General features: G+C 38.0%; 2 protein-coding genes across 12 annotated transcripts in view, besides 3 other annotated features; both read left to right on the top strand.

Annotated features, from left to right (window-relative positions):
- Nucleotides 1-13264, top strand: part of BRWD1 (bromodomain and WD repeat domain containing 1) — a 137037-nt gene extending 123773 nt beyond the window's left edge. For 5 of the 6 annotated variants that reach the window (XM_017028373.2, XM_011529611.2, NM_018963.5 and 2 more), the window contains 2 exons: nt 25-942; nt 10023-13264. In XM_017028373.2, the coding sequence (XP_016883862.1) occupies nt 25-942; nt 10023-10414 (1310 nt within the window). In that variant the 3' untranslated portion in view covers nt 10415-13264. Of the gene's footprint in view, nt 1-24 lie in introns of all 6 variants that reach the window. The other variant, NM_033656.4, reaches the window with a different exon arrangement.
- Nucleotides 8536-8585: an enhancer, noted in NCBI's record as "active region_18466". NCBI's record gives its function as "activates an Ori minimal core promoter by ATAC-STARR-seq in GM12878 lymphoblastoid cells {active_cell/tissue: GM12878}" and the evidence as "EXISTENCE:reporter gene assay evidence [ECO:0000049][PMID:35858748]".
- Nucleotides 13814-14033: a silencer, noted in NCBI's record as "silent region_13320". NCBI's record gives its function as "represses an Ori minimal core promoter by ATAC-STARR-seq in GM12878 lymphoblastoid cells {active_cell/tissue: GM12878}" and the evidence as "EXISTENCE:reporter gene assay evidence [ECO:0000049][PMID:35858748]".
- PSMG1 (proteasome assembly chaperone 1) lies at nt 13926-22671 on the top strand. 6 transcript variants are annotated; one of them, XM_024452135.2, is made up of 7 exons: nt 13926-14188; nt 15539-15668; nt 17004-17155; nt 17454-17516; nt 18793-18991; nt 19869-20005; nt 21776-22671. In XM_024452135.2, the coding sequence occupies exons 3-7, from the start codon at nt 17024-17026 to the stop codon at nt 21848-21850; spliced, it is 606 nt and encodes a 201-aa protein (XP_024307903.1). In that variant the 5' UTR covers nt 13926-14188; nt 15539-15668; nt 17004-17023; the 3' UTR covers nt 21851-22671. The 6 variants fall into 6 exon arrangements, 5 of the variants coding, with proteins under 5 accessions (XP_024307903.1, NP_001248753.1, NP_001307724.1 ...); NM_001261824.1 differs by having other exon boundaries at nt 15562-15668; nt 17469-17516; nt 21776-21994; NM_001320795.1 differs by having other exon boundaries at nt 13926-14376; nt 15562-15668; nt 21776-21982.
- Nucleotides 14234-14313: a silencer, noted in NCBI's record as "silent region_13319". NCBI's record gives its function as "represses an Ori minimal core promoter by ATAC-STARR-seq in GM12878 lymphoblastoid cells {active_cell/tissue: GM12878}" and the evidence as "EXISTENCE:reporter gene assay evidence [ECO:0000049][PMID:35858748]".
- Nucleotides 22672-24175: the final 1504 nt, after the last annotated feature.

Genomic DNA, 24175 nt, shown 5'->3' with positions numbered 1-24175 from the left:
AGAAATCTGCTCTTTAACTTTTAGATTCTGCATCACAAGACAATGGACTAAGCAGAAAAATTTCCAGGAAAAGGGTCTGTTCCAGTGACTCAGACAGTAGTTTACAGGTGGTTAAGAAATCATCAAAAGCCAGAACAGGTCTCCTGAGGATTACTCGAAGATGTGCAGCTACGGCTGCCAATAAGATCAAGCTCATGAGTGATGTAGAAGATGTCAGTTTAGAAAATGTGCACACTAGAAGCAAAAATGGAAGGAAAAAACCTCTCCATCTTGCTTGTACTACAGCTAAGAAGAAATTGAGTGATTGTGAAGGAAGTGTACATTGTGAAGTACCAAGTGAACAGTATGCCTGTGAAGGCAAGCCACCTGATCCTGACTCCGAAGGTAGTACAAAAGTGCTTAGTCAGGCTCTAAATGGAGACTCAGACTCTGAAGATATGTTGAATTCAGAACACAAGCACAGGCATACCAATATTCACAAAATAGATGCACCTTCTAAAAGAAAAAGTTCCTCTGTTACATCTTCAGGAGAAGATTCAAAAAGTCATATTCCAGGGAGTGAGACTGATAGGACATTTTCTTCAGAGTCAACCTTGGCACAAAAAGCTACTGCAGAGAATAATTTTGAAGTGGAACTGAATTATGGGCTGCGCAGGTGGAATGGCAGAAGACTCAGGACCTATGGAAAGGCTCCTTTTAGTAAGACAAAAGTGATTCATGATTCACAGGAAACAGCAGAGAAGGAAGTAAAAAGGAAGAGATCGCATCCTGAATTGGAAAATGTGAAAATCTCTGAAACAACTGGGAATTCAAAGTTTAGACCTGATACTAGTTCCAAATCATCAGATTTGGGATCTGTAACTGAATCAGATATTGACTGTACTGATAATACAAAAACCAAAAGGAGGAAAACGAAAGGAAAAGCAAAAGTAGTTAGAAAAGGTAAAACTTTTACAGCTAACATATCTAAAACTGTGAGACGTCAAAGACAAAGCAAACGCCCTAGGTTAAGTGTGGATGATAATGACTGGGAGGATTTGGACTATGCAAAATCTAAAAGAGTTCTTCGACGTTCAAAAATAAAAACGAGAAATCAGGGTAGAAGGACTGTGAGATACCATGATGGGGATGATGACAGAAGTTTAGAAAATGTGTTAGATTTCAATGGTTGCACCTTATGACCTTGAGGGAAAGCCAGTTCATTTAAGAGGAAATGGACTGGCATTTATGGTGAAAGCTGGCTGTTAAAATTATTTTTTTGTCTTACAATTCAGGGAATATATTTATATTTTTCTATGAAAAGTTATGAATGTGACTAAATCATGACTGTTATTTTTATTTGCACTTGCTGGTCTTTGTAGCAGCATTCAGCACAGGTGCCAAAATATGCTTCATTTTGGGGGCAGATCTATTTTGACAGTATTTGACTACATATAGCAAGAGTTTGAAATATGTTAAACACTAGACATCCTGGTTATCAAAACCAATGAGCATTACTTTCATGGCAGCAAGTGTCATGCAGTTATTTTCTGAATTTGTCAAAGAGGCAGTAGTTTCTAACCCCTGTTCTATAGTAGTTACAACAATTTCACAACCTATGTTTACAGATTCTTCATAAATACATGCATACTGACACTATAATCATGGGAGGTGTAACCATGATTAGTAGGCGAGGTACCTACCACTTTTTTTTTTTTCTTCCCCTGGCTACTTGAGTAGAATGCATTATACCAGATCTGGTCACTTTCATTGAAATGGTTTCTAATTTTCTTCCCAAGTGCTGTTGGGTTTTTTTCTTCTTAAGGAAAACGTTGTCACTTTTATGTTATAAACTTGAATTTATAAAGTGCTGGTAAATTATTTTTAATGATTTGAGTGCATGTTTTAAACCTCTAGGACCAGAGCATAGTCAGAGCATTTTCTTTTAAATTGTGCACTAACAAAATGCTATATAATCTGTCTTCTGTCCAAGATCTCCTGGTTTCCATTGTAAGGGATTTAACCAAAATCTTGCTCTTCCATAATCTTACTCTGTGAAATAGAGGAATTCGTGTGCCTTAGATTTAGAAGTGTGTTCTTTAATAGAGTGTACAGGGCTAAAAGAGTATTTAAGTTAATATGTAGGTTTCCCCCATCTGTATTCCAATTGTAGAGGTGAGTTTTGTTAAGAGTACAATTGCAAATCTTATCTATATAGGAAAATAGCTAAATGTCATTCTCCATCTCTTTGTTTTAGTTTACTGCTTCCATGTGCAATCCTAAGCATTCTTTGCTGGGGCAACTAAATGTATCTTTATTAGTGACTTCTAGTCCAAATATAAGAAACTGTCATGTTTTGTGGGAAAATAATTTTATAATCCATTTAAAGTGAAAGTTTATCACACAAATAGTACACTTATTTTCTAACCAAATACTTGATAGGTTATGCTACTCCAGTGTAGATGGCCATTCCTAACTTGTTTGTGCCTGAAGATGGACTTGATTCAAATGGTTTACATATTTAGTGGGTAAGGGATATGTTACAGTACCCCACCTGTAAGTTATTTATTAGCCCTAATTGTGTTTGATTTCAGACAAAATTAACCCTTTTCTCCTGTGTATCTTTGAAGTGGCAGATAAGGTGAAGCATCAGACTGGTATCAATATTAGACAATGTTATTTATTAGCCCTAATTGTGTTTGGTTTCAGACAAAACCTTTTCTCCTGTGTATCTTTGAAGTGGCAGACAAGGCGAAGCATCAGACTGGTATTAATGTTAGAGAATGTTCTGAAGTGTTCCTATTTTGTAGTTATCTATTCCATTTGACATAGTAGAAGGTACATTTTCTTTCTACTCTGATGCATGGGGAAGGATGTTTTTGGACATTATCAACTGAGATAGGTGGGAAACCTCCTCTCATTTGTGGCTTAGAGAGCTATCACCATTTCAGAACTATGATGCTTTTCTTCTCAGAACTTGTGTTAAGTAGATAGTAAACAGATTGATTCATGATAATTGTCCTTGACTAAGACTGAAAAGACTAATGGGATGCCTTTTACTTTGCTAATTTTAAAAACTGGTGATAGATGTCAAATCCATTAATTTATTTAAACTCTTCTTAACCTTCTCTTTTATAATCTGTTCTCAGGTTTTAACTCCATGTTTACCATCATTTGCAAAAAGGTACCAAAAAAATCCATAAATAAATATGGAATACATTCATAAGTACATACATTCTTTTGGTATAAAACAATATTTTGACAGTTTAGGCTTCATTAATAGAACTATTCTGATTATTTGGACTGCATTAATTGGTCATTGACTGGCCATCCAATTACCATTTTTTCTTTCAGTCCAAAATAGTTAGACCCTTGCATACAGAAGTGGTATTTTGGTTTTTAATCAGATTTGGTTTCATCAGAAGCAGCAAGAATGGACCTGATGTCTTTAAAAGCATAGCCGACAATGGTAGCTTCTCAAGTTATGAAATAAAACTGAGAGATAATGGAGAAAATAATTTTTATGGGTTTTTTTGGTTATGGTGCTATTCCTAAGGTTAACTTTGAATATGTGACACACACACTCCTAAGTACCTTTAAGGAAAATTAATAAATCATTAATAGTTAAAATGTTTACATTGAGCACTAGAACATGTTTGGCCTTTTTTTTCTACGTTATGCAAAATGCCCAGGGATTTAATGCACAGGTGTACTTTAATGTTTAGGGTCAGTTTGTAGTATTCTTGAGAAAAAGATAAAGGGTTATAATTTGAATGTGAACTGATCCAGAAATAAGTGCTGTACCTTTCCACTGCACTTGAAGTTCAACTTAATGGTGTATGTGAAAAACAAAAACTACTTTGGTTGTGTATGTCCAAAGTCCTATGGTTTTATTCATTTATGGTTTTACAGGCTTTGAAGTACTCAGATTTGATTTTTGCTTTCTTGGAAAGACTCACTTTACCAAGCATATAAAGGAAAAATGATTTCAAACATTGACAAGATAGATGAGTGTTAACAAAGCTTTCTTTTTTCGTGTCCTCCTTATTTAAAAAGGTATACTTACAATGTGAAGTAACTTATGAATAAAAGGAAAAGTTTATCCCATATTCAAATAATTCCTAAGGTCAGCCTCCCTTTTTGTAAGTGGCAAATATCTGATTAAATCATTTCTCAGTTTATTAATCCTTGGAAACAATGATATAGCAGTTACTCACAGCTTGTAAATTACAACAGAAAGGTTCCTTTCAAATAGTAGAGCTGCACCTAAAGAGGAAATTGGGTTTATAAGAAAATGGAGGCAAAGAACTTAAGTTTTAAGAAAAAGCACTTCAAAACAGAAGGGCAAATGGAAAAGGGGAATATAAAACAAACCAATAAAAATACCATCTGAGGGTGTTACTGTCCAAAAGTAAAGAATAAGATGCATCACTAAGCCCTTTGCACTCGTTATGACCTCGTAAGTAAAAATTATCACTTAGAATAAGGGGTGCACACTACATTCCCTCTGTCTTCTAGACTTTTTTTTTTGTAGAAGAATCAGAAAACAATTTACTAACCTCCCTGTTTGATATTAAAAATAGGAAGAATTTTAATATTTTCTGTTAGTACAAGTTGAACTTGATTGTGCCAACTGAAACCCCAGAGGTTTGTATATCAGTAGAATGCAAGAACATTGTTAAAGGTGCTTACGATCTTTTTTGTTTTCCTTTCCACTCCATTGTATCAATTTTTTGAGTAACTTTTAAATGGCTAGAAAATGGTCTTTTTGCTTTGCCCTTTTAAAGCTGAAATAACCAGCTCCATTCTTTTCATGAATAGTAAGTTGATATATTTATTTATCAGGTATCTTGCAGTTGTCACCAAATACTGTAGTTTTCTTATGTTGTATGGAAATTATAGTTCAATTATTTTAATGTGATAGAGTGCAACAAGTCATTGTAGAACTTTTCACCTGTTAATGTTGAAGTTATACCTCTGAATTTCTGCTGTGGATATCAAGGAAATAATAAAGCAGAAACCCCAAGAAATTTGCAACTTAACAGTTTGAGACTGTCTCTTATCCTAGTATTTGGGAAGAGAAGGAATAAATTTGTCAAAACTAGGTGAGAAAATAGAGCATTGTGGGAAAAACTGAGTCCAACTAGATTAGCAAATGTTAATTCCTAGCTCAAACTGTGAATAGTAAGGATTGAAAAGTAAAGTATGTAATGCTAAGGGCTGTGTTGTCTTTTCTTACGATTTTAAGTTTTAAAGGCTGTTAAATTACAGAGATGTTGCCCAAGGATACATGGGGATTCTCAAAAGTAAGAGATTTTTACCTTTTTCATAATCTGCCAAGCTGGTTCCTAATATATTGTTAAATTGGTAGAAAAATATCTTTAAATTGGTGTCTGCTCAAGAATTGCTTTTCTAGATTTGATGGAGGGAGGGGGAGAGTCACATCATTTGGATTCTACCAATCTGCAGGCTCTATCTTTGGCAACATGTAAATAATTAGACTATACATCTGTTTCTCAAGTATGGCAAGACCAATAGTTTGAATTTAATTATCAATGCTATGGTATACTTTCTGGTCATATTTTAGTTATGTCAGTTTTAAGGTAAGTTTTTTCATTTATTAAAGCCCTTAAATGAGATTTTAGACTGCCAAAGAGAAGAGGCAGTCCAATTGACCTAACTGAAATGAGATGACCAGTATATAGAGCCTAGATGGACTGTAGCAGCTCTACCCCTTTGTTTTACAAGGTAAATCATTTTAAAAATTACCTTTTTTGATCAGTGGGTAAAAGTTAAAGGGATCTTTAATTTTTGATATATTCAAGTTAATTTTCTAAATGTGAATCAGTCCTTGGACTGCAACTATATATTCACCTACAAAATCCCAATCAAAAAATTACATGAGCCTGTCAAGCAGATCTTTAGTTTTCCACTTCACATAAGATCGTTAATGTTCTAAATTAATCTATTCATTTAGATGATTTTTGTCAGTTCTTAAATGGGATATAATAAATTTAGCATTTTCATCTTAACAAGCAAAAGAGTTAAAAAACAAAACAAAACACTACTCCAAGCCAAATACATTCTAGCTGGTTAATTCCAGACTTGTCCCAAGTGGTTCCCCAACCTCTTTTCCACTGGTAATTTCTTTTCATGCAGGCAGAATATAGGGGTGCGAGCGCTGTGAGTTTTACATATGAGCTTGGATAGGGGAACTGAAGCGAGTCAGGAGCCCTGCTGGAAAAGGGGTTTGCCATTGGATTGTCTGTGGCCTGGTTTCTTTCCAGTAGTACAGTAATAGGGTAGATTGAAAACAAGTATTTACTTCTGATTCTGCCTGCATTTAGTGTGAAATGCTCTTAAGGTATTGCTTCTAAAAAGCAAATTAAGCAGTTAAGTATAAAGTCCCTGAATTCATATTTCAAAATAAGGCTTTTATGAGATTTTTATTAAAAATTGCAATAGCCATCACAAATCTGAGTTTTTCTAGGGGTGAGAGAAAACTGTATTGTGATGAGCTAGATTAGTTGTAGTTCCAGAATAAGAACAAAAATTCAGAGTTGTGTGGTGCCCATCATTGAGTAAATGAACCCTAAAAATGAATAAGCTAATGAACTAGTTCATGGAATTATTTCTGATGGTCTTTTGACCTGATGCTGCCATACTGCAGTGTTACCAGCTCCCCCTAGAAAACGGAACTGTTTAAAAACACAGCAAGTTACAGAAACCATTTTATTCTACAGCCATTGGGGTACTTCAGTTTATGGGATGTTTTTGGAAACTTCTGCTTTGGGAGGGATGAAGATCATTGATAAATGTTATTTGCTTTCTGAGTTTTGGGGTCATTTCATTGCTTATCAATGAAGGGCAGACAGAGGAGAGAATATCTCAAGTCTTTTCTGATAAAAGGCTTGCTTGAGGGAGCTTATAACTTGCACCTAGAGGGTTTACCCACTTTGTGGATTTGATTTATCCACCAACCACAGCAACCAATAATGTCAAGATTCTAGGAGTTTATGAAAGAGGCTAGTATGTTTTCATTTTGAGTCAGACATTCTTTTCTCATTCTCAAATCTGTTTTAAATGCTCCAATTTTAAAAATGCCAATGAAAATTTTATAATGCTTCTGTAGTAACCATATGCAGTTTACTTTGAATTTAGGAAAACAGTTTTGTATGATGAAATATTGTGCAGAATCTGTAAATAAGGTAGCTTAAAAATTAAAAAAAAGTCTAATTAGAATATGATTAATCCTTGAAATGTAGAAACTAGAGATTGTGTTGAGTCAGAACTGTTATGTTTGTATCCAGGTTTCTATTCACCACATATACCATCTTAGAATACACACATATCTGTGAGTTATAATTTAAAGTGGTCATCCAGGGAAATGATCATGGAGTGCTACTACAGATGTACAGTTTTACACTACTGATGTGTTCTTGCCATACCCAAGTAGGGAATCACTTCCAGGAAAACAAGTCCTCAAGCACTCAATGACTTTGTAAACCCATGACTGAAACAAGACTCATCTGAGGCAGTAGGACTGGTGGGATTCTACTGACTTCTTAGTATCACATGGCACCATCACAAATGCATTGTTAGAGCAGCAACATCCAGAGTTCTTAAGCTTGTACCCTAACACACAAATTTGACTTCTAACCCTGAAATATCCTATATATATTTCTAAAACTGTTTGTAGTTTTCTTGAGAAAAAGCACTTTATAATTTACTCAGTTTTCAGTAATAAAATTAACACTGACTTGAATGTATTTAAAAAAATTCTCCACAGTTTTGTCTTCCTCAGATTGTTTTTATCCTTATTCTCTGAAATTCCTGTTTTATTGTCTAAGACTTAAGAGATTCAGCTTTATCAAGTTAGAGTACAGTGTAATTCAAATTCTCCCTCCCTTGGGCATAGTTACTGAAGTTCAAATTTCCTTAAGTATTTTTTAAAAACCTGATTTTAGTTTTTTTTTTCCTGCAGAATCTTAACTTTTCCATTATTCTGGATGACAAATAAACATTTATTAAAATGTGTTAGAATTAGTATTTACTAGGTTCCTAAATTGTCAGTATAGGTACTTTGATCACACATCAAAATGGAATTTCTGCAACTTAAAGCATTTTGTTACAAATTGTAGTTGAAATAGAATTTTATCTATTTGTCTGGATGAATAGGTTGTTGGGAATGAACCAGTTATCTGTTCTTTTCTTCCAAATGCAAATGGTGCAGCTAGTTGATAATAGTATATTCTCATCCTACTATAAAGTGCAAATTTCACCTTAATTTTGCATATTTTAAAATTTTTGTTTACCCTTTGTAGCATATTTACATTTTAGCATTTGCTAACATTGATTTAATGTGTTAAAGATTCATTTTGGATATAGGGTTGACTTGTTGGAGATACTAGTTCATAATTTTAAAATTCCCAAGAGAAGTGTCTTTGAAGTGGTAAACACAGTGCACTTTAAGCCACTTCTCTTCCCACAGAGTCCAGCTGAAGGAGGTAAGGGCATGCTGCATGAGAGTAATGCCGTGATGAGTGTCTTACTCTGGTAAAATGCCATTTACAATGCCTGGAGACTGAACACTGAACAAAACATAGTGCCCTTAGAATTTCACTGGAAAAACATGTGAATCACATAAGTTAGTTGGCAAAAGGAACTGATGTGTATGTGGTGGGGTTGCTTTGAATAAAGTATTTCCTAACCTATTCTGGGGAGAACGCTCAACTGATCTTAGAGAAGTGTGAAATCAGTTTCATAGACTTAGGGAAAAATCTGAAGTGCTTGCACTGTGAGGGCAGAGGCCTGCCTCATTAGTCTAGCTGTATGAACATGTCAGTCCACAGAAGCAGTTTTTACCTGTACTCATCTGCCCTTCAGTCAGCTTTGTGACAGAAGGGCAAACATCTTCACAGAAGAAAAAGTTCAGAAGGTTGGCATTGGTGGTTTCATTGCTACAGAATAATAGTGTTACTTGATAGTATCTGACTAAAAGAGCTCTCATTTTCTAGTACTTAGTAGTAAAAAGAATGTGGTGGAGTCCTCCAGATGTCTAGTGTGGGTGGAGGATATCAACTGGTTATTTCAGTGATCTACAGCCTTACCTTTTGAATGCTAAATGTCTGGAAACTTCAGGCAGGGTCCTACAAAACAAACTGCCATCAAGATTGGTGTGTACCATGAAGGCAGTTTTAGATAGTTTGACTGTTCATGGCTGCAAGAAAGACCTAAAATTCAAGGGCCCGTGAACTTCAGATACGTAAAAGGAATATCACTTCTGTTCTAGAAGAGTACTAATTAGACTTGTTTGTGAAATTTGAAAATTTGGCTTTGAGACACTGGTAACAAACATATCTGAGCCCTCCTAAGTTTGGTCAGCACGGAGTAGTAGCTCTGGCATCATGTGGCTGTGTAGAGCTCCAGTGTGATTTCAAGCCCCCTCTAAAAACTGCCTTAGTCTGCATGAAGTAGTTAACTCTCCAAAGTGCTTTTTGTCTGGCAAATCCCTTCACAATTTTCACCTCTCGTCTAAAAGCTTCCTTAAAGGAAGCCTTCCTTGATCCCTTAGGCTAGGTTAGGTTTCCAGTCTGTGTTCTCATAGCACTCTGCACTTTTTGGTTCCTTAAAGCAACTCTGTGTTATTTTTTAGAATTTTAATCTGAATCTCGTGTGTCACATACCTAGGTCAGAAAATACTGGAACAATGAAGTTAAGATTTAGTAATTCAAATTATGTAAAATGCTCATATATATGTTTTTAGATTAGCAGCTTTATGATGCCGATGCTGAAGGAACTTTTCACCCCATTCTTACAAGTCTGCTACTGTTTTAAGTGACATCCTTATAGTTGTAGATAAGCAAATGTAAGGTTATATCAATGTGAAGAAGCCCTTAGTATCACATTTTAAAATTTATCATTTAGCAATATGACTTTTAAATTTATTGTTTCCGAATGAGTGTTGTTGAGGAATGTTAGCAGTAGTAAAATCTTGTGTTACAAGATTTTTGCATTTACATGAACTTTCACTCATTTTTCAGAATTTGTTCCTAGAGACAGAGAACCCAATACAAAAGTGAGAACATGTATGCATAATCAGAAGGATGCAGTGCAGATGCCTAGTGAAACTCTGAAAGCAAAAATGGTACCTGAGAAAGTTCCCCGCAGATGTGCTACTGTTGCTGCAAATAAAATAAAGATAATGAGTAATCTAAAAGAAACGATCTCAGGACCAGAAAATGTCTGGATTAGGAAGAGTAGCAGAAAACTGCCCCATCGAAATGCTTCTGCTGCGGCTAAGAAAAAATTACTGAATGTTTATAAAGAGGATGATACAACCATAAATTCTGAAAGTGAAAAAGAGCTAGAAGATATTAATAGAAAAATGCTTTTTTTAAGGGGGTTCAGATCCTGGAAAGAAAATGCACAATAGTGACTATGAGAATGTAGAAGTGGCATCTGAAAACAATTGGTACACAAGTAAACTGGCAGTTACATTCTGCTCCCAGCTCTAAAATTACTCCCTTATTGGCATCTTTGGAGGAATTTTCTAAAAGCCATAATCCAGTGGGTTCCTCCCAGTCAGCTCTTGTACAGACATGTGCTCTGGGGAATTCTGAGGAGGAAATAAATTGCAGAGTCTGTAGGTGGAGAGGTGGAAAGAAAAGACAAATGGCCTGCTATAAGACTACTATTCCTTTCCAGAATGCAAGGCCTTGAAGACATGATTCCTTAGAGGAAGAATATAATGGGAAGTGTACAGGCTAGGAAGAACTTGAAGTGAACAAATTTCAAAATCTTAACCTGATGCTAATTTTCAGGGTTCTCCATTACAGTGTAAAAATTCAGACCACGACAACTATGGTGTCATGAGGAAAAAAAATCAGGCATTTTTCCAAAGGAAGTGCTAATGGGCCTATTTGACTTCTGAGTGAAGCAAAAACTACCCAGATCCATTCCCTACAATTCACATCCCCAAAGGTCAAAAACAAACTAGGAGGACCTGGGAATTTCAGCTGGAGATACTGATTATTGAGTTCTGAAGTAGAGTGTTGGAAATAGGCAATTAGAGAAAGTCCATTGATGTCATTTTGTTTATAATATTGCAGTTCATACTGAATGACCACTTGATATGACTAATTCAGGGAATATATATTTTTCTATGAAAGCTATGAATGTTACTATCACGGCTTTTCCTTATTTTTACTTGTATGTAGCAGCATTTACAGAAATGCCAAAAATGTGCCTCATTAAGAGGCAGGTCTTAATCAGTTAGATAAAAATAAAATGTATAGCTTAAGATCAAAACAGTCATATTTTTAGATACAGTGAAATCTTTTATGTTTCTCTACAGCACCTTAAAAATTAGAACTTGAATACTTTGAGTAAACTTACTACAATCTCATCCCAACAAACTTTAATGGTAGCATGTTTGGCCTATTTCATTGTGGCCTGTACTAGGATTAGAAAATTTGGTCGTGGTATAACAAAGAAGTGTATTTACAATAGGATTTAATTTGTTGTTAATATGTATTTGTTGAAATTAAAATTGCCAGATTAAATGAATATACTGTCGCATCTTTTTAACATAGTAACGTGTTACTGGAAAAATTAAGTTGTTGAAAGTAAGTTGTTTTCCCATTTAAAAATATCTGAATATATGATTTGCATGTGTAAATCTGAAAAACTAAACTACAGAAACCTAGGGTTTTCTATTTCTTTTTTAAGTCAAATGCATTTTTTTTTTTTTGTTATACAGATGAACCAAGTGTCTAAAATACTTGAGAAATTTGTGGTTGCATGTCTGTTTTAAAAAAAAGGCTTTTTGTTTTTTAGCATAAGCCAGAATATTCTAACCTACTAAGTCTGTGTCCTTTGCTCCTTTTGTAGTATACTTTCATCTAAATTACTGATCCCCAATATGTTGATACACAGGTGAGAAAGGGAAGAATTCCTAATAAACTGCTATTACTTTTAGGTGCATGGGGTTTGATTTTTGAGCTCTAATGAAATGCTTAAACTTCTTTCCAGTTCAAATTTTACACTTAATTTATAATATTTATTGAGTATATTATGTCCTCAACAAGTAACTATAAAATGAAATACTTAACTCGGTGAAGACTATTTTATGCAAAGTTTTTTTTTTTTTTTTTTTTTTTTTTTAGCAATTTCAGTGTAATGAAAGAATTTAAGCTTTGAATTTATAATTTGCTGTGGTGGGGTTAATTTCTGTCAGTATTTGAGATTGTATTATCAGTCTTGCATAATGAAATCCTTTTTTGGCTAAGTATTTAATTCGAACATATTTGCCTTTTTAAAAAGTGCTTGGCCTAAACTTATTGTAACTGCATGAAATAAGCATTTGCTTAAAACTTAACATTGTAAAATTGTTCTCTCTGAAATGTGTGCAGAATTTAAATCATGGCCAAATGTATTACTATTACCCTATTTACAGTAATTTGCTTTGCAGAAAATATTTCTTCATCATGGAACTGTGAAATCAAATTGAAGATCTTACTGGTAAAAATGACAAATTAACAAAAGGACTAAGACAAGTGGTGCCCAAACAACCTTTTTATTCTGCAGTTCCATCATCATAATAGACCAGTTAACCCAGGAGTCCTAATGTTTTAAAACATCATTGTGGTGATCTTGTTTATTCTATCTCACTAAGGATATCCAGTTTCCTAAGCTCTTACTGGCTAGCAATTTCGTCTTAATTTTATTGCTAAATGTTCAAATTTTGCTTCCAAACTCACTTTATTTTTGCAGATGTGTACATCTGCTAAGTACTAATTTTATGTAAATGATTTTGTTGATTATCTTTCCACATCTTAAAATGTTTCTAACAGCTTTGAGATTTTATCTCAACAGGCTCTCTCTGACCCCAAAGTAGTACTTACCTTCGTGACTACTGACAAAGTCACAAAATGCAGGCGATGTCATGTATTTCGGTACAACTAAATCTAGGAAACGGTTTTTTCATTGCATTACTGCATATTTTCATTTTCATTTAAATTATGTCCCCTTTTTCTCTTGCTTGAAACAGTGCTCCTCGAACTTTGTCTTCCAGCACATTTTAAAGAGAACCAATTAAAGAACAATCACACATTCTGCTTATTAAAGGCTATTTAAAAAGAAACATTTTGTATTAGAAAATGGCCAACTTTAAAACACTATTTTTTACACTCATAAAAATGTTTTTTAAATCGCCTTGACAATCATCAGCTTTTGAAATGTGAATTCCTATTGCCAGAGTAAAGGTCTCGTTTTTATACCACCACGAAGCGCTGTATTTCTTGCTGCCCTTGCGTCCGCCCGTGCCCGCTGTCTGAGGGCGCGCCTGGCTACGGGGGCCCTCAGTACCACCGCGCCGCCACCTACCTGGGCAGTCGAAATTTGGAGCGGGTGCTCAGTACACTAATGCTACCCCAGTCTCTCCTAACGCAGAAGGAAAATGGAAACGGACGATGAGGGGACGGCCCCACAGCTCCCGGACGCCACGGCCAGCGGCGCTGGCTCCGCCCCTGCACCCCTGGTTCCGCTACCGCCACGAACGGAGGCCCCGCCCTCCTCTCGCCCCCTGCCCCTCTAGCCCGCAGTCCTCCCACCTCCTGGCGCCCGCAGGGCTCAAGCTGCGAATGAAAGCCTTTGGGGGCCGGACGCGGTGGCTGAGGCCTGTAATCCAAGCACTTTGGGAGGTCTAAGGAGGACGATCGCTAGAGTCCTGGAGTTCGAGACCAGTCTGGGCAACATAGCGAGACCCCCTCCCCCAATCTGTAATTTAAAAACAAAAAAGCTGCGGGGACTGCTGGCCCAGGGCATGACAGCGCGGGCGGGCGGTGTAGAGGGCGTGGCCGCGAGCTCAGGGTGTGCCTGGGAGCGAGCCCTGTGCGGGGCGGGACGTAGCGCCCGCGCGGTGGGGGTGTGGCCGCGAGCTTGGGCTGTGCGCGGAGGGCGTGGCCTGTGCGGGGCGGGACTTATTGCCCGCGCGGTGAGGGAGCGTGGTCTCGCGCAAGCCGGCGTGCGGTCCCGCGGCGCTGCAGTTGTGTCCAGCCGGTCACGGGGCGGCTATGGCGGCCACGTTCTTCGGAGAGGTGGTGAAGGCGCCGTGCCGAGCTGGGACTGAGGACGAAGAGGAGGAGGAGGAGGGGCGGAGGGAGACGCCCGAGGACAGGGAGGTGCGTCTGCAGCTGGCGCGGAAGAGGTGAGGCACCGGGATAAGGGCAGCGCGCTCACCGCAGCTGGAAGGTGCGCGGGCCTGGCAGCCGCGACGGCGCCTAAGGCCGGGGCTCCGCGGTCTTCCGAGTGGCCCCCGCGGTTGCCGCCGCTCCTTGGCTCTGCTTGGGCCCTGGGTCTCCGTGAAGCCGCGGCGTCCAGCGGCGCCAGCCCCAGGTGTGTGTGGTTCTCGCGTGGATCTGCTGGCGTTTCGTGGAGTCCAGGGTGAAGCCGCTGTGGGAGGGCTGGGTTCAAATCCGTTCTTTAAAGGCTTTCTGGAGCGTTTCTGGAGCATTTCTGGAGGCTTGGTGTCTTGCGGACTCGTGATCTTCCCGCTTGTCACACTGTCTTGGGCCGCAGCGCTCCCGCGGGCCCCACCACGTTTGTCGTGGATTGTTCACGGACACACCAATTCCCTCGAAACTTTTTAAACCTGCACCCAACACTTCAATTAGCATGATGTGTCAGTAGCCGATGAACACGCTTTAAAAAAATTGTTTCCAAACACAAAAAAGTGGGAGAAAATAGTCAAGTGAGCCCTGACCCCTACACAACCGGGTAAATTCAACAGGAAGATTTTGCCACGTTTATTTTCTCTCCCGCCACTCCTAAGCGAATTCCAGTCATCATGGCCTTTCACCTCTACATTTTTCAGAATACATCTCAAACGTTTTAGGGATTTTCTTACATATGCTATTATCACCCCTAACAACACTAATACTAATTTTCCAGTATCATTTTGTAGTCCATGCTCACTCACGTTTACCTAGTTTTTTCAAACATGACATTTTACAGTGGTCTGCGTGAATGAGAATCCTAACAGGGTCCACAGGTTACATTTAGACGTGTCACTTCATTTAGAGCAACCTCCTCTTACCCCTCCTAAGAGACAGGACTGATTGTCTTGTCCAGTGCCCCCACACTCTGAATTTGTCTGATAGCTTCGTTGTGGTGTCACTTAACGTTTGTATCACCTGCATGTCCTGTAAAATGAATGTTCATTTGGAGGCTTGGTCAGATTCTCATTCAAAGTTTTGTCGGCAAGAATGCTTCTACTAAGTGGTGCTTTCTGTTTCTTATTGCAGGCTATCCCCAGCTGTCTCACTTTTAGGGATGCTAAGATTGGTTCTTGGGTCAGGTGGACAGCCTGATCACTATTTTAGAGTTCTCCGTAAACACGTATGCAATAGTTTTATCTGTTGGTTATCATTGTCCGAGTCCATCGTTTTCTGAGGATATTAGTTATATTCTTTATAAAACTAACGTGCATTTTATTTATTGTAAATCATACATATAGTGCCCTTTTGCCATGATACTGTTTATATTGAAGTTGCTTTAGTTTCATCTTGTTTCTTGTGTTAGGGAAGTGCGGCTCCTTCGAAGACAAACAAAAACATCTTTGGAAGTTTCTTTGCTAGAAAAATATCCGTGCTCCAAGTTTATAATTGCTATAGGAAATAATGCAGTAGGTAAGTGAAAATGCAGAAGACTTAGTCATTTTGTTGAAAGAATGAAATATACTTATTTTCTTCCATCATAAAAGATTTAAAATGTTTAGTACTTTAAAAAGCCACAGTAGAGTGATTGTATTTCTGAGTAAAATCTCTCTCCTGTTCCTGTTGCATCATTTTTTTTTGTTTTGTTTTTGGTAGAGATGGTTTCTTGCTGTGTTGCCCAGGCTGGTCTTGCACTCCTGTCCTCAAGTGATCCTCCTGCCTCAGCTTCCCAAAGAGCTGGGATTACAGGTGTGAGCCACAGCACCTGGTCTGCACTATCTTTTTAATAAACTGAAAAAATCAGATTTAGGCTGGGTGCAGTGGCTCACATCTGTAACCCCAGCTCTTTGGGAGGCCGAGGCGGGAGGATCACTTGAGGCCAGGATTTGAGACCAGCCTGGGCAACATAGTGAGACCGTATCTCTACAAAAAATAAAAAAATGAAGCCAGGCATGGTGGTGCTTGCCTGTAGTCCTGGCTACTCAGGAGCCTGAGATGGGAGGATTGCTTGAGCCCAGGATTTTGAGGCTGCAGTGAGCCACGATCCTCCCACTGATCGTGCTCCAGCTTGGGTAACAAAGCAAGACCCCAACTCAGAGAAAAGCTTTAAAGAAAATGTTTTTAGCTTCAGGAACTTAAAACTCAAGGAGCTGTTTCTAGTGTGTTGAGGTATCCGGGTTTATGTTAATGTTTTTGAGTTAATAGACTCCTTTGAGAACACAAAACTCTAAAGACAGTAATAATTATCAACATGTTTAAGTACTTAAGTTTTAAGGTCCTTGCATGTATTAATTCTCTTGGTGGATTAAAGTAAAAACAGTGTAGAGTGCAGCTAGGACAATGTACATTTACAAATACACACATAGACCTTTATATTTTTAGGGTGTTCACAGGTTGTGATGAGAACATTCAGGAAACCCAGTTAAGATCCCTTCCTCTGTAAGGTACCCCTAGTGGTTGTAGAACATAGTAAGTACATGATGGCAAGTAACTATGGACTCATTTATATAAAGTTCTGCTGGCCTAAAGTTTTTCAGAAGAGTATTACCCCGTGAGCATGTGGTAGAAAGTCTGTCAACAAACCTGCCTTCTTGATCCCTAGCTCTAGGATTGTCTTACTCAGGGTGTGTGGCCTTTTACTTCTTGGGGGCCTCAGTTTCTTTTTCTGTATAATGGTGGTATTAGGTAGACGGTCTTGAATGGCTCTTTCAGCTCTCAAATTCTACAGTAACTTGAGCTTACTTTTTATTGAATAGAAAATATAGCTTGCAGAGCCAAACACTAACTTATGTGAATTGTTTTTTACAGCATTTCTGTCATCATTTGTTATGAATTCAGGAGTCTGGGAGGAAGTTGGTTGTGCTAAACTCTGGAATGAATGGTGTAGAACAACAGACACTACACATCTGTCCTCCACAGAGGCTTTTTGTGTGTTTTATCATCTAAAATCCAATCCCTCGGTAGGTGGGACTTGTATGTTTGAAAAGCAGTTATTTAAGTATCACTTACATGTTATTTACTGGTAGTATACTTTAGTATGGCAAATCTTTCAGTTGCTCTGTCAGTGTGCACTTTTTCTGATACTAATCACCAGTAGTGGTTTGACTGTTAAATTTTAAAGAGAAATAAGTAGGTCAATAGTGGAGCCAGGAAAATAAGTATTACCTAAGTGTTGTCATTCACATGTTACATATATGGTGATAGTTTGTGGTGTGTATAAAACTTACTTGACAAAAAGCGTGGAACTTGACTTTTCAGGTTTTTCTCTGTCAGTGCAGTTGCTATGTTGCAGAAGATCAACAGTATCAGTGGCTGGAAAAGGTAAGAGAGAAATGAAAACCTGTGAATGGTTAGTCTACAGGAGTTTTCATTTTTTAAGGGTTCGATGTCTTTTAACTTAAACTTATGCAGTCAGATATTTATTTCTTTAAAATATTGTGGGAATTTCTTTTGGAATATAAAGAATAAAAGAACTTGCTTATTTAACGTGACCAACCAGTTGTGTTTTATACTTCTGTGTCCTCCCGTCCTCAATGCTGAGGTACAGAAGTATAAAACACAGTTGGTCCTCAGCATTGAGGATGGTAGGTCACAGAAGTATAAAACACAATTGGATTCCTCCCGCCCATCTTTCTTTGTTTACATCACTTTAGATCTTATTAAAAGGTAAAAGGGTTCTTAGAAATCTATCAAATCCAGACTCTTCTACTTATAGAAGAGGACATTTAGAACCACAGTGATTGAAGCTTACCTATAAGTGTAGTAATTCCAAAAATGAATTTCATGAGAGTTATTTTTAAGGTGTCAGTGGTAGGTGGGAGAGGGAATGAATGTCAGGTGTGTACCTGTGACTTTTTTTCTCTGGACGGCAGACCTGTAGTCGCTATTCTGGCACTCTGACTTCATTTACTCCACATCGCAGGCCCCTTAAGTAGGTAGTGCTGGCATTACGTGTTCATCTATTCTTGTGTTGCTATAAAGAATACCTGAGGCTGGGTAATTTATAAAGAACAGAGGTTTAAGTGATTGACAGTTCTGCAGGCTGTATAGGAAGCATGGTGCTGGCATCTGCTTGGCTTCTGCTGAGGCCTCAGGAGCCTCCAATCATGGTGGAAGGTGAAGGGGGAGCAGGCAGATCACATGGCGAGAGCATGAGAGAGGGGAGGAGCCAGCCTCTTTTGAACTACCAGCTCTAGCATGAACTGAGCGAGAAGTGAGAAGTCACGTATCACCAACAGGGTGGTGCTAGGCCATTCATGAGGGATCTACCCCCATATCCAGTCACCTCCCACCAAGTCCGGCCTCCAACATTGGGAATCACATTTTAACATGAGATTTGGAGGGGACAGGCATCTAAACTATATCACCTTAGTTCACTAATGAGGAGAGTGACTTGGAAAAATTGCCCACCTAGAAAGCAGAACCAAGATCAAACCCAGGTTGTGACAGCAGGTGTGTTCTGTTTCTCCAAGGCACACTCCCACCCCTGCTAGGCATGCTATTATTGTCTGTGGTGTTAGGTGAATACCTAGAGGAATGTTTCCATTCTGTAACAAAATTATATGTTTTTTTTAATTTGAAATAAATTTTATGTTAGGTTTTTGGCTCTTGTCCAAGGAAGAACATGCAGATAACTATTCTCACATGTCGACATGTTACCGATTATAAAACCTCAGAATCCACCGGCAGCCTTCCTTCTCCTTTCCTGAGAGCCCTAAAAACACAGAATTTCAAAGACTCGGCGTGTTGTCCATTGCTAGAACAACCGAATATAGTACACGACCTTCCTGCAGCAGGTGGTATTAAAATTTGTAACATTTACATTCTATCTTATTGCTTTATTGATACTACTTTTCACCATTAGAGGTCTTTTTGAGGTAGTTTATTAATGATGATTGATACCAATATATTGCTGTTAGTCCTCAATATCTGTAGTTACAAGTGCAGTATATTTAGTTTGAGTTTTCAGATTTTCCAGACACAGTTATTTGAGGAGCTCATGTTTCTTAACTGTTGGGCTTCAGACATGCTGTGTTTCTTTTTGGTCTTTGATTATTCAGAATGCAAGCCAGTGTTAAATATAAATTATTGGTGCATCAAAAGTTGATAAAGTACATTTTAATTATCAAAACAGAAGTTTTGAATATTGAATCTTGATAGTTGCTTTAATTTTTTTATTACCATCACACACATCTGCCATCATATGACAAAGAGACTGCCATTTACTTTTCAGTGGGTAATATATTACATAATTGTTATTTATTATATGAACTGTATTAAAATAGGGTTTGGTTGGGGTTTCTTTTTGCTTTCAATGTTTACTAGAATGAGAAGTGGCTAAATATTTCACTTTATGCATTTTGTACTTATTTGTTATTTATATGCTTTATTATAGTCAGTAGAATTTTAATCTTTCAGCTACTTAAATCATCTCAGCTGTATTTTCAGGAAATATAAAATTAATATTTGCAAAAGAAGAGATTATTAGGAAAATAAATTGACTTTGAAAGAAAATCTTCATTATAATTGGTTCAAAATTGCAGTAAATACCTTGATTGAAAGAGGCAGCTGAGATAACTACTTTTAACAACAGCCTTTATTATTTAAAGGTGTTTAATTTAAAAGTAACATAATAGAAAACTTACATCGTTTTTTTTTCTTGTGTATTCATAGTTCTAAGCTACTGTCAAGTATGGAAAATCCCAGCAATTCTGTACTTGTGTTATACTGATGTGATGAAATTAGACCTAATCACAGTGGAAGCTTTTAAGCCTATACTTTCTACCAGAAGCTTGAAGGGTTTGGTTAAGGTAAGGTTTTAACTCATTTAAATTAATAGCTGCATTGTTATAATCAGCTTAGTAACAAACATAAATGTATACTGTCATTTTAAACCCTAAGCAATGCTTGGAGATCCATTCTTCTCAAAGCGAAGCTTTCTAGTCTGGCAGTTTGAATTTGATTGTCATCATCTCTTCTGTATACGTCTGTAACTTGACGAATGCTTTGTTCTTGTATGATAGATTAATGCAGTGCAATTAAATCCCAAATGTCTATGTGGACAGATGGTTTTACTGTTCAATAAGCTTCTATAACTACTTTGCAAGGTTTTTTAAAAAATTTTTATTTAATTTTTGAGACGGTTATTTTTGAGTATAGTGTGGATCAAATTATTATAATATTTATTTACCCAATTTTACAGAGAACTGTATATGTGAAGATGAGAGAATTACATAATGAACCTCTTCCTTACCCTTGGTTTATACCTTTGGTCTCATTTTCTAAAAAAATTGGAACACGTACATGAAAATGTTTGCCTGTAATCTCAGGTAGTTTAGGGATTCCATTGTTTTCTCTTAAGAGACTTTTTTGGAAGTCCACAGCCTCTGGTTTAAGCATGGTTTCTTTAAAGGAAAGAGGTTGTAACAACATTGTCCCTCAGCCCGGTTTTATTCTGGAATGGCCATTAGTTTTAAGACTTTTGTGGTAAGTTGTTGGAAGTAGCTCATTTCCCAGGTCTCATAAATTAGTTTGTTACTAGATTGTCAGCTCCTTGTGGTAATGGACCACGATTTTTAATTTTGGTATCCCAAGTTTACCACATACCTGGCATGTTGAATAAAGCCATCAATAACCATTTGTTGAAGAGTACAGCTGTAAAACTCTGATTTAGTATACTGCAAGCTTATCTTGCAAATTAGCTAGAATCCAGGGTAATCTTTCTGACACATGGAGTTAATTTATTTTTAGCATCTCTTTCAAAGTATATGCTGATCGTCTTGTTTGTTTAAATAGCCAATTGCCTCATCCCACTTAACTCAGAGATGAGTTCCCATGGGCAGGGGCTGGGCTGTTTTGTTTACTGCTGTAGGACTGTGTGTAGCACACAGGTGTGTCATAAACGCTTGGACTTGTTCAGAGACTTGGAAATCATCTGTCATATGGGGCTTAAGGAAACTCAGCTTTTATGAATATACTTTCAAGGGGAAATTTAACTCAGCATTTTCATTTTTGCTTTGGAGATAATGATTAGCAGGAGGGTAAGATGGTGGTTCTGCAGGGTGCTGTTTTCTTAATGACCAATTACATCAGCCTGAGTCAGTTCGTTGTTTCTGACCTTTTAAAAGTGGTATTTTCAATAAGGTGGAATTATTTTGAGTTCTTCCTGTGTGGCAGTTTAGTTGGATTTGAAAGATGGATGAATCTTGGGTAGAAGTGTGCAGAGGGAAGCAGTGTGAGCAGAGTGGGAAAGTGTGAGGAGAGCCGTGAGGAGTGTGGTGTTGGTGGAGAGGGGAGGAAGACATCTTGTGGGGAAGGTCGGGCGGGTTAGAGCATAGACTTCCTCCAGAGGCCAGGAGACCATCGGAGGCCAGGAGATCATCGGCGAGTGTGGCAGGGAAAGGGCCTGTTGAACTGACTTTCCCACTTGCCTTTTCGTTGAGAAGGAGAGTAAAGGCCACGCCTGTCCCATGGCTGTTTTTAAGTCTCGAGTGTGGAGATTGTTGGTCGTGGAGGGAGGGGTGTTGCCTCTGCCTGAATCCCTGGGGTCTCACTGTATTCACTTTTTTCTCTCCTTTCAGAATATTCCCCAAAGCACTGAGATACTAAAGAAATTGATGACAACAAATGAGATTCAGAGTAACATTTATACATGATCTTAAACATTGTTTTGTAGTGTATATTACTTGTCCATTCCTTTAAGGGGAGCAGCCTGCACTCTTTTGTAGATTACTTTTGGGGGATATATTTTGAGAATGATGAAACGGAATAAAATTGTAAAAAATTAATTGTAGTTTTAATTCCTTATTTATGGTGGTATTATTCACAACCAAAATAAGCCAAGCATTTTCCTTTTATCCACTAGGTGGGAGTATTGTTGTATTTGAATATTTTAAGGTACTATAGTTAAATTTTTATCTTATTTATTTATTTATTTATTTTTTGAGGCTGGGTCTTGCTCTGTTGCCCAGGCTGAAGTGCAGTGTGCTATCATGGTTCACTGCATCCTCGACCTCCTGGGCTCAAGCATTTCCCCCGCCTCGGCCTCCCAAAATGCTGGGATTACAGGTGTGAGCCACTGTGCCCAACTTTAGTTAAATTTTTCAAAGCTACAGATATCAGCAGATGGTATTCATGTGGCAAAGTGTAGTTAATTAGGTGTAACTATTCATTGACCTGTTGGTGATTCTTAATATGTGGAAAGTTTCTGGATATTTTAGGAGTCCTGCAGTTTTTTTTATCTTGTGGGTAAAAATTGATGACAAAGTAACAAAATTATATATTTACTAAAAATGAAACAGAAATGTGTATGTCCTCACTTTTTAGTAATATCTGACAGATAGCCTCTTCACCCAGACTTTCCCAGGGCTCTCTTTCAAGGCTGGCTCTGCGCGTGTCAGCAGTTCTCTTACAGTCATGTGTTATCATTAGGAGTGTGAATGGAATCATGAACCCGGAGTAGCCACACAACTTCACAGGACCACAAACTGAACTGCATTCATGAAAATAAATTTTAAAATGGTGGAGTTAAATGCTTCTTATCTCTTCTGCTTTCTTTTTCACCTTTTTAGTTATTGAATCATTTACATACTATAGATTTAGAGTACTTACCCATTTATATTTTCTAGTTCCAGTTCATTTACTGTTTTTGGTAATGATTAGAAGTATGGTAAGGAGATACTGTGTTCTAACTCCTTCTTGAGTAAACTTGGTTTCCTTTACATAATCAAGAATTGGAAGTCTTGTGCATAGTATGCTTATGAATATATCCCGAAGGCAGAAATCTAAGCATTTCCCTTGTTGCAAAAAAAGTTTTCATTCATTCAGAAATGTGCCTGCAGAGCCCTGAGGTAACATCATATGACCTGGAATCTGGTCCTAGCTGGAGCTAATCCTCTTCTTGTGCTGAGGGTCAGTGTGGTAAGTAAGGAAGAGTGATCTTGGAAAAGCAGACTATGTTCAATCCCAGGCCAGCCCTTACAGGCCAGGTGACTTTGGGCAGATGCCTTGAAGCTTCCTGAGCAACAGTTTTCTCAGCTGTAAACTACAGATAATACTGGTGACAGTACTCCCTGGGTGGTTATCTACTTCCCTTGGGGTCCAGGTTTTCATCTGCTTAATGAAGGAAATTCTCTGCTTGCTTTGCTGAATTGTGAGAATAATGATATAAGAATGCTTTTGAAGAACTGTAAGGTGGTATTTCCATGTTGACACACCTTTGTGTGCCCCACCTCAAAGATGCTGACGGTGATGTGGTAAGAAAGGAGTGGGGAGCTGCTCTGGGGGCAGCTGGAGCTGTCAGTCTTCATTCCTTCTTGTACTTCCTCTTGCTAACTTGAGAACCACAGAGCTTGGCAGTGTCAAATGGCTAAGAGTGGAAGTAGTTGGGGGACAAGTTTTGCATCGGCAGTAATCCTGGGAGAACCCTAGAAGCAGATAACTCTGGGCATTGTAGTTTTTAATAATTTTGGTAAGGAAAGAATCATAATTGCTTCAGACTGTCCAGGAGTAAACCTCTTCTTGTGATAAGAAGCAGGCAGCAGGTGCAGGAGGTTGGCTGTCAGTGCAGCAGAGCCACGTTAGGGCCAGATACCAAGCCAGGCACAGCGGTGCTTATCCGTAGTCCCAGCTACCTGGGATGCTGGGGCAGGAGGATCGCTTGAGCCCAGGAGTTCGAGTCTAGCCGGAGCAGACATCAGGCCTGGGTAGGTTTCCCATTCAAAGGAGAGTAGCTGAAGAAAACAAGCAATACGAAGGATAGAAACAGCATTAAAAATGCAGAAGAAGAGCATTCTGTTGAAAAACATGACTGTAGGAAACAGCTATTTTTTAAAAGTCAGGAACCCCTGCTTTTTCCAAAAGCAAATAATGAGATGTATGAGAAGCAGCAGCTAGCTGAAAGGAAATTTAAAAAATTTCATGGAAAAGATTTTAACAGAAGCAAAACTTCAACTTTAAAATCTGTATTATATAAAATAACA

Source organism: Homo sapiens, chromosome 21 (assembly GCF_000001405.40).
Source record: "Homo sapiens chromosome 21, GRCh38.p14 Primary Assembly".
Lineage (NCBI taxonomy): Eukaryota > Metazoa > Chordata > Mammalia > Primates > Hominidae > Homo > Homo sapiens.
Note: the sequence above shows the minus strand (reverse complement) of the source record. Positions and strands in the feature narration are given on the sequence as shown.

Coding starts and splice junctions, on each gene's coding strand:
- PSMG1 (NM_003720.4), top strand. CDS start 14,055: ATGGCGGCCACGTTCTTCGGAGAGGTGGTGAAGGCGCCGTGCCGAGCT. Junction 14,189..15,561: donor CTGCAGCTGGCGCGGAAGAG/GTGAGGCACCGG, acceptor TTCTTGTGTTAG/GGAAGTGCGGCTCCTTCGAA. Junction 20,006..21,775: donor GCTTGAAGGGTTTGGTTAAG/GTAAGGTTTTAA, acceptor CTCTCCTTTCAG/AATATTCCCCAAAGCACTGA.